This window comes from Homo sapiens, chromosome 1 (assembly GCF_000001405.40).
Source record: "Homo sapiens chromosome 1, GRCh38.p14 Primary Assembly".
Classification (NCBI taxonomy): domain Eukaryota; kingdom Metazoa; phylum Chordata; class Mammalia; order Primates; family Hominidae; genus Homo; species Homo sapiens.
Genome location: NC_000001.11, coordinates 7,799,240 through 7,809,093, shown reverse-complemented (window position 1 = coordinate 7,809,093; position 9,854 = coordinate 7,799,240). Strand labels below are relative to the sequence as shown.

Below are 9,854 nucleotides of genomic sequence, written 5' to 3'. Positions count from 1 at the left end.
CTCCCTTTACAGTTTATTTTTGTGAAGTGAATTTACTGAGCATTAAAACAAAACACAATTCAGGGAACTTTGCATTTTTAACAATCTCACCTTACCTGTAAGAGAAGTTTGTAAATTTGTTCTTGTAATTCTGTTATGTCTTTGTCATTATCGTTCATCTTTTTAATTTTGGTAGCAAAAACATCCTCATTTAGTGGGCTCCTAGAAAATGCCCAGTGAGAGACTGAGTCAAACAATTTAAATGAAGTCGAAAGTGATTTTTAATAGACTATTCCAAGAATAGATCTATGCTTTTACAAAACAATTCTTTGACTCCAAAGAAAAAATATGAGGCTAGAATTCTATTCATGAAGGTACAGAAAATAATAAGAAACAAATGAGACATTAACAGGCCCCTTAAGTTTCTCTAAAGCACTCATCTTTCTGTAATGGTTTCAGTGCTATATATGTACAAATCTGAAATCAGGGACAAGTAACCTCCTTAGCTACTAAAATATCTTCAGCAAATAACTGGTTTCAAAATTTGACAGTAACTGAGTAACTGTAACTTACTCTAAGAATTTTAAAGACCCCAAGTTTTCCAAACAACATTTAATGTTTATTGCACCTAACACTTAAGCTATCTAATTAAGACAGTTCTGCAACCCACCCTAGTGGTGAAAATGTAGCTATTACAATACCTTCGGTCTTATTTATACTCAAATTTTAGAGCATCTTCAATCTATGACCTGAATACAGTGAATGGCACACATGCCAACAGAGAGGATTACAAAGAAGGGAAGGAACTGATGTTTACTTGGGACCTTCTATGTGACAGGCACTGTACTATACTAGTTTTTTTTTTTTTTTTTTTTTTTTTTTGAGACAGAGTCTTGCTCTGTCACCCAGGCTGGAGTGCAGTAGCATAATCTTGGTTCACTGCAATCTTTGCCACCCAGGTTCAGGCGATCCTCCTGCCTCAGCCTCCCGAGTAGCTGGGATTACAGGTGCACGCCACCACGCCTGGCTAATTTTTGTATTTTTAGTAGAGACGGGGTTTCGCCATGTTGGCCAGGCTGGTCTTGAACTCCTGACCTCAAATGATCCACCCGCTTCGGCCTCCCAAAGTGCTGGCATTACAGGAGTGTGCCACTGCACCCAGCCTGTACTAGTTTTTATAACATAGAAGAATACCTGACATTTTGAAAATCCTTATTATTCCAAGTGCTTTACACGTATTTTCTCCTTCACCTGATTAAATACCTTTTCCAGGTGGCCTGGCAGGTAAGGGGGAAGCAGGTGTTCACGAAGGGACCAGAGTCTGGGCTCCAGAGTCCACCCTGTGTGCCACCACACTGTACTGCCTGTGGGTACCTTGGTAAAGCAAGTCCCATTCGTGAGGCATACTGAATCAGCTGCATCAGCTCACGGAGTTCTCACAACAACCCAGAAAGTAGGAATTATCCCCGATACACAAAGTCAGGGGATGAGGTACTCTGAGGAACTGGCCCAAGTTCACATAACCGAGAAGCAGCAGTTAGGATTTGAATCCGCCTACGTCTGACCCCCAAGCCTGGGCTGTCCTTTTTCCATTATGCCAGCCTGCCGTTTCTCAACTGATACATGCAGCTCAGTTACCTAAAAACTGAAACAGTTTCCCAAAGGCAGAAATTATCAAGACAATCATAGGATGCTGACAGTATCGTAAAAGCAGTCAGGAATATCTCCACGTCTAGGGACTATTCACTCACCCTGCACATTTCCATCACAGTGGAACAGCTGCACCAATCGCCTTTCTCTACTTTAGCATCTAGACTGTATCTAGATCAATATCTATCTGCATGGCGTCAGGTACACCATATGTCTGTGGCAAGCAGTACCTGAATATATAACCTTATTTCACAACTTGACACACTATACGTTTTATGTAACTGTCTCTCCCTATATCCCACTGCCAGGTAAGTGCCACGGGGTGAGGTATTTTGTCTACTTTGTTCACTCCTGGATCTTCAGTACCTAGAACAGTGTCTGGTCCATAGCAGGCACCCACTACATATTTGCTAAAGGAACAAATACATGGTTGATTGATCTGGGAATAAAAGTACACCTGGTTCCTAATATAAACACATTGTGAGCTTGAAAACCTTTCAGAGGTATTTGGAATTTGTTTTTTGAGTGAAATGGAAATAGAACAGATTGCTTTATGAGATTTACATATTCCTAGTTGTGAAAATTTCTACAAAACTAAATTGTGTATGTATGTGTGTGTGTGTATGTAATATATATATATATATATATATATTTTTTTTTTTTTTTTTTAAGAGACAGGGTCTTGCTCTGCTGCCCAGCCTGGAGTGCAGTGGTGCAATTCTGGCTCACTACTGCCTTGAACACCTGGACTCAAGCAACCCTCTTGCCTCAGCCTCCTAAGTAGCTGGGACTACAGGCACGTACCACCATGCCCAACTAATTTTTGTTTTTAAATTTTTTGTAGAGAAGGGGTCTCACTATCTTGCCCAGGCCAGTCTTGAACTCCTGGCCTCAAGTGATCCTCCTGCCTCAGCCTCCCAAAGTGCTGGGATTATAAGCGTAAGACACTAAAATGTATTTTAAGTCAGTAACTATGTAATGCAGAACTGATTAATCTGCAGGCAATAAGGAGACAGCCTTCATGAAACAGCAACAAAAATGCCATGAAGTATTTATTGCTTTGCTGTGTATGTGAAGTGAAGTAGGAGTAAGAGAGAAAACTTGGCTGCAGTCTCCACTTTCACTCCTCCCGAAGTGATCCCTGGGAAGGCTACTCTAGTTTACTGAGTATGGATTTTACCTGTAAAATGAGAGCTGAGGACACCTGACCTGCTTGCCTGCAGTGCTGCTGGGAAGGACTGAGAGAGATACAGGCAGGGTCCCTTGCTAAACAGTCTTGCAGCCCCCTTCCCATTTCAACTGTCACACTTACCAAACTCTAGTTATATATGACAGTGCCATTTTTATTTACTGTCTCTCCCATTACAGTGTGGGTTTCCTGATGGTAAAGAGAATGTTTTGATTACCATTACATTCTCAAGGCCCAGCACACTGTCTTACACAGAGCTTTATACTTTATAAATATAATGAATAATTAATATTTTATGAGCAAGATTAATACCTACTAGACCTTAAATCCTTTCCCTCACATAATCTTTGTTGTTAAGATGTAAATACCAGTGTAATTTTTTAAAATACTGAAAACATTCTGAATATTCATTATATGTTGCATAATTTCACATATATTTCATCAAAGAACTGAAAAGAGAGCTTCAGAAATCCAGGCCGTATCTTTAACCCTGACTGGGGCTGGGGAACACAGACCATCAACGAGCCCCAGATGGAAGCCTCATGAAGGCATCTTACTGGCTGCAGTTTCCTACGTTCATGCCAAGCAACCATCGGATTTCATGTTCATTTCCCAATAGGTTTCCGTACTTGGGGGGTATGGGGTGGGGAGAAGGGACAAAGTCCTTTCTGAGCAATACCAATGGTAATTACTTGGCAGCTGTATTTCTTAATAATCAAATTCGTTTTCTAGCACAAATCAGTCTCATGAGTTAGGGCGGCCAGGAGCCCATTTCTTCCATTAAGTTCTACACGTGCTCTGCGGAGGGGCCAAACCCTGGAGTAGAAAGAGGTAAGAGCAACCTTGAGACCTCTTCTCACCATGGCTCGGCATCATCTCTACTGTAATATTAACAGGTGATCAAATACGTCTTACTGGTAGATCTACTGTTCTCAGGTTCATGTTCATGTAGACAATGCTGTATAACAAGATACCAAAAAACATAACTTCTCGATCTCAGCATGATACTGGAGTCAAGTAAAATTTCCATGCTTAAAAAAGATAGACATCAGAGGGAAACCTAGAGCCAGGTCAAAAGGCCTAGAGTTCAATTAAAAATGGACCACAGGGTTGGGCGTGATGGCTCACACCTGTAAGCCCAGCACTTTGGGAGGCCAAGGTGGGTGGATCATTTGAGGTCAGGAGTTCGAGACCAGCCTGGCCAACATGGTGAAACCTGTCTCTATTAAAAATACAAAAATGAGCTGGGTGTGGTGGCGTGCACCTGTAATCCCAGCTACTGGAGAGGCTGAGGCAGGAGAAACGTTTGAACCCAGGAGGCGGAAGTTGCAGTGAGCCGCGATCAGGCCACTGTACTCCAGCCTGGGTGACAGACTGAGATCCTGTCTCAAAAAAAAAAAAAGGACTAAAGATTCAAGGGCCTAGGGGTAGGGGTACTGTAGCCTACAAGAAGTTGTGGGCCGGGCTGGTCTCGTTCCATTCCACATGATGCTGTTACGTGGATGGGCAACAGCAAGCAAACAAGCTGGTGTCAGCTGTGCTGGCAGGAAAAGAAGTATTAAAAAATGGACACAGTCCGGGCGCAGTGGCTCGTACCTTCAAAATTCCAGCACTCTGGGAGGCTGAGGCAGGAGGATGCTTGAGTACAGGAGTTTGAGACCAGCCTGGGCAACATGGCAAAACCCCATCTCTACAAAAAATACAAGAAAGGGCTGAATGTGTTGGCAGGCACCTGTGGGCCCAGCTACTTGGGAGGCTGAAGTGGGAGGATCACCTGAGCCAGGGGAGGTTAAGGCTGCACTGAGCTGTGATCGCATCACTGCACTCCAGCCTGGGCAACAGAGGGAGAACCTGTCTCAAAGAAAAAAAAAAAAAAAGACACAAACAAGTGGAATTTGATGGCGGAAGGCTGATATAAAAAGTTTTACATGCTCACTAAAGAGATCTTTAAAAAAAAAAAAAAAGAAAGAAAGAAACACTTGTAGGTCCTAGTACCTACACTTAACCAAAATTCATATTTTATTTCCTTTCAATTCTCTTTTCCTTATTTCATAGTATGTTCGTTTTAAACATAATTATAATCATAGGTATAAATAATTTTGTATGCTGATTTTTATATTTAAAAATCAAATATTTTTCCATGTTATGTGATCTCTGCAAAAATTTTCATTGACCAATATAATAATACATCAAGCAAATATTCCAGAGTTTACTTAATGATGGATATTTAAGCTACTTTAAGGCTGATATTATGACTTCTTTTAAGGCTCACGGTACACACTGTCAAACTGTCTCCCCAAAGCACCGAAAACAAATCTGTGCTTTATTTAGTTTATGTGTCAATTGAGTCAGAGGGCAGTCAATAAGCTAAGGAATATTATTTGATACAAGAGATGTTTTAGAAAATATGAAAACTGACTGGCTTACGTTCGAACTTTATGCCGACCAATGATGAAAGAAATCTTCCGGCTCCAGGGATTCACAAAGCTGGACCAACTGGAATCCAGTATGATGTAGTCTCCGTTTTGAGTACAAAATCGAATGGGAGAATGTTCAAAGGGAGGATGCCCTGCATACTTCAAAACTATATAAAATAATAAGACAAAAATAGGATTTACTTAACACAGATACTGATTACAAATGTCCTTTTTAAGCCATTTATTTGTAAATGTTTTAGTGGTTTTTTTTGAGATTGAGTCTCGCTCTGTTGCCTAGGCTGGAGTGCAGTGGCATGATATTGGCTCACTGCAACTTCCGCCTCCCAGGTTCAAGCAGTTCTTGTGCCTCAGCCTCCTGAGTAGCTGAGATTACAGGCGTGCACCACCATGCCTGGCTAATTTTTGTACTTTTAGTATAGATGGGTTACACCATGTTGGCCAGGCTGGTCTCCAACTCCTGACCTCAGGCAATTCGCCCACCTCGGCCTCCCAAAGTGCTGGGATTACAGGTGTGACCCACTGTGCCTGGCCTGTTTTAGTATGTTTAAATAGAAAACAATTGCTTTAGCAGCTTCAATGTAATGCCTCTCTGGTTAAAGGTTGCGCTCTAATGAGATGAAAAGAAAAATTAGAACAAATCAATGAGAGAAAAATATTTCCTCCTATAAAGGAGTAGGTCCTGACCTTTTTGGTGTATGGCAACCATCAGAGAACGATCTTCAGGGTGCAGGTAGCTTAGGATCGATGTTCCAATCAGGTCCTGAGGTAGGTAACCCAGCAAAGGCACTGCTCTGGGATACAGATACACAACACAGGTGGCATACTCATCAGGTAATTCTTATACACTTTTAAAAATACTTCTGTATTTCATTCTAAATGTGAGACAATTTTATGCAAAGCTGTTTATCTTAGCATTTATAAAAACAGCAAAGAACCCAAGTGCCCATCCTGGGGGAAATGGCTGTATAATCTAACACATGTTGGTCATCTGACACATTACATCAAAATCATCTAGCGAACTTGCTAAAATACAGATCCACAGTCTCGCTGTATGCTTACTAAATCAGAAGCTCTGGAAATAAGACCAGGCATCTGTCTTTTAGCAAGTTCCTTAGAGGACTCTGATGCCCTCCATAATTATGTTTATGTTGCCATTTAAAAAGTCTACAAAAAGCACATCGTAACGTAGAAAGATGCTGATGATGTTAAATGAATAATGCAGGTTGCTAATTCATACAGCATAATTAAAATTACATAAAAACAATGTCACCTAGGCCAGGCACGGTGGCTCACGCCTGTAATCCCAGCACTTTGGGAGGCTGAGGCGGGCAGACTGCCTGAGGTCAGGAGTTCGAGACCAGTCTGGCCAACATGGTGAAACCCCATCTCTACTGAAAATATAAAAAAATTAGCCGGGTGTGGTGGTGTGTGCCTGTAATCTCAGTTATTTGGGAGGCTGAGGCAGGTGAATTGCTTGAACCAGGGAGGTGGAGGTTGCAGTGAGCCAAGACCGCACCACTGCACTCCAGCCCGGGCAACAGTGTGAGACTCCATCTCAAAAACAAAACAAAAAAAACACAATGTCACCCAAAAGGTAATATCAGATAGACAGACAGCTAGTACACAGAAATAGTTTCAGGATAAAGGTTCATGGGAAACTTACGATGGTAAGACTAAGGATGCTTCAGAAAAAACTGGATTCCGTAAATATTTTCCCTGTGTAAAAACCCACAAATATTTTCTAATACAAGAGATTTAAGCTATTTTTAGAATTATATTTAGCTGAATTTTCTTACTTTATACAGGTTAAGTATCTCACACATTACTATTTGGTTTCAGGGTAGACATTATCAAATACACTGATTTTCAGATGTTAAATTTTTTTAATAAAAAATTATCAAGAAAATGTTTCTGACATTTTTGCTTTTCAGTTATGTGTGGTGTGGTGTGTTGGTTCCCAGATTTTTGAATTTCATGAGTAAGTAAAATGTTAAAATAAATGTGGGGAAAAAATGCGGGATACTGATGTAGTGATACTGATATTTACTTTTTCCAAATAAAGATACTAAAAAACAGCATTAAGCAATAACTACTACCTACTATCACTATCCTTTAAATAACAAAGACTATTTCAACATCCCCCAAAAGTAGGAAGGACAGAAGTTCAAAATAAAGAACAATTCTTTACAAAAAATAATCTGTTCTCCCCACCTTCGCCCCCACTTCAGACTAACTGAAATTTCATCATAAACTGATTTGAGAAGCACTTGGCAAGTGTAAATAACACCAGAATAAGTGCTAGAAGACCAGAGTCTTGGTCCCAGTTTGAGCGCAATCAGATACTATACATCTGTTCTCAGCAAACTGGCCGGTGGGTTCATTGTCTTCTCTGTAAAATGAAATAATTCTTGGCCTACCTAAAGCATACTGTTTAGAAATCAAATACAACTTGTAATCACTTTATAATATGCAAAATATTTATATTAAAAATTTAGACAACATACATTTCCATGTAACAAAAATCAAATAGGCAAATGGACAGATTTCAATTACATAATGTATAAACATGCAAACATAATGTAATCTTCTTCACATTTATATTTATTTTCAGAAACAAATTTCTTTTAGGCTTAAAGAAGTACTTACTTTTCATCTACTTCAAGAAAAACACACCCTGGGGTGTGTGTGGTGGTGAAGATTCTTTTATTCACTGGGATCCGAGGAGCTAAGGAAAAAAAAACAAAGACCCATTTAAAGGCAAATATCTAATTAATTATCCACCTAACTAACCACTTAACATATTAAAAAGAGAACAAAATCTATATGAAATGGTAGAAATCTCATTTAGGGGCCTGGCCTTCAAGCAGCCAAAGCTACAGTTAAATGATAGTAATTTCATTACTAACTACATTTTAATTAGGTAAAAATTTGAAGCCTATTAAAGTCAATTTTAAACAGAGAGAGAAAGAATGTGCACATTAAATAGTTTTCTCTCTTTTTTTTTTTTTTTGGAGACAGAGTCTTGCTCTATCCCCCAGGTTGGAGTGCAGTGGCATGATCTCGGCTCATTGCAACCTCCACCTCCCAGGTTCAAGAGATTCTCATGCCTCAGCCTCCCAAGTAGCTGGGATTACAGGCGCCTGCCACCACACCTGGCTCATCATAAATCATTTAATAGTTAAAACTGGAGTAACTAAAAAGTTTAATCAGATTTAGTAGCTGCATATAACTAAACAAACGAAAATACTACAAATGTTATTTAGTACCATATGGATATTCTTTGTGTAATAAAATTGGTATGGTCAGTTCTATTCTAATGCTTGCTTTAAAAATGAAGTGTCGCCGGGCTCGGTGGCTCACGCGTGTAATCCCAGCACTTTGGGAGGCCGATCACTTGAGGTCAGGAATTTGAGACGAGCTTGGCCAACATGATAAAACCCTGTCTCTACTAAAAATACAAAAATTAGCAGGGTGGGGTGGTGGGCGCCTGTAATCCCAGGTACTCGGGAGGCTGAAGCATGAGAATTGCTTGAACCCAGGAGGTGGAGGTTGCAGTGAGCTGAGATCGTGCCCACTGCACTCCAGCCTGGGTAACAGAGCGAGACTCAAGAAAAAAAAAAATGAAGTGATTGATATATTAGGGAATGGTATGAGCAAATGCTAATATCTCATTTGCTTGTGCGCTATTTCATTTTCAAGAAGCCTTAAGTGAATGCAGAAAACAGCATCCAGTTCAAAGGAACCACTTACAAATACACAAAAACAGGTCTGATGGCTCACATCTATAATCCCAGCACTTTAGGAGGCCAAGGCAGGAGGATCACTAGAGCCCAGGAGTTCGAGAACAGCCTGGGCAACATAGTGTGACCCTGTCTCTACAAAAAATAAATAAATAAATAAAATTAGTCAGGCGTGATGGTGCGTGCCTGTGGTCCTAACTACCCTGGAGGCTGCGGTGGGAGGATCACTGAAGCCCAGGAGTCTGAGGCTGCAATGAGCCATGACCACACACTGCACTCCAGCCTGAGTGACAGAGCAAAACCCTGTCTCAAAGCAAAGCAAAACAACAACAAAAAAAGAATACACAAAAACATGCATACACACCTCAAACATCTACCTGCTACCTCAGTCCGTCCTGTGGTATGAGCCATATTTATTGTAGTGTTTGTAGATTTCCTAATCATTTAACATGCATGAAATGATTATCTTTTTTTTTTTTTTTTTTTTGAGACAGAGTTTTACTCTTGTTGCCCAGGCTGGAGTGCAATGGTGTGATCTCAGCTCACCGCAACCTCCGCCTCCCGGGTCCCGGTTCAAGCAGTTCTCCTGCCTCAGCCTCCTGAGTAGCTGGGATTACAGGCACACGCCACCACACCCAGCTAATTTTTGTAATTTTTAGTAGAGACGGGGTTTCATCACGTTGGCCAGGCTGGTCTCGAACTCCTAACCTCATGATCCACCCGCCTCGGCCTCCCAAAGTGCTGGGATTACAGGCGTGAGCCACTGCACCCGGCACGATTATCATTTTTATTTGATTCCTGTCTTATTTTTAATACGCAACTAAGCTTTTGAGTTTTGTGCTCCTAAACCCATTTTTC

At 40.7% G+C, this 9,854-nt stretch overlaps 1 protein-coding gene across 47 annotated transcripts in view; it reads right to left on the bottom strand.

Annotated features, from left to right (window-relative positions):
• PER3 (period circadian regulator 3) overlaps window positions 1-9,854 on the bottom strand; it is a 60,887-nt gene that overhangs the window by 36,084 nt on the left and 14,949 nt on the right. For all 47 annotated transcript variants that reach the window (XM_047433449.1, XM_047433435.1, XM_047433457.1 and 44 more), the window contains 4 exons: window positions 7,903-7,981; window positions 5,941-6,047; window positions 5,246-5,402; window positions 96-201 (listed from right to left, as the gene is read on the bottom strand). In XM_047433449.1, coding sequence (XP_047289405.1) covers window positions 96-201; window positions 5,246-5,402; window positions 5,941-6,047; window positions 7,903-7,981 — 449 coding nt within the window. The remainder of the gene's footprint in view (window positions 1-95; window positions 202-5,245; window positions 5,403-5,940; window positions 6,048-7,902; window positions 7,982-9,854) is intronic.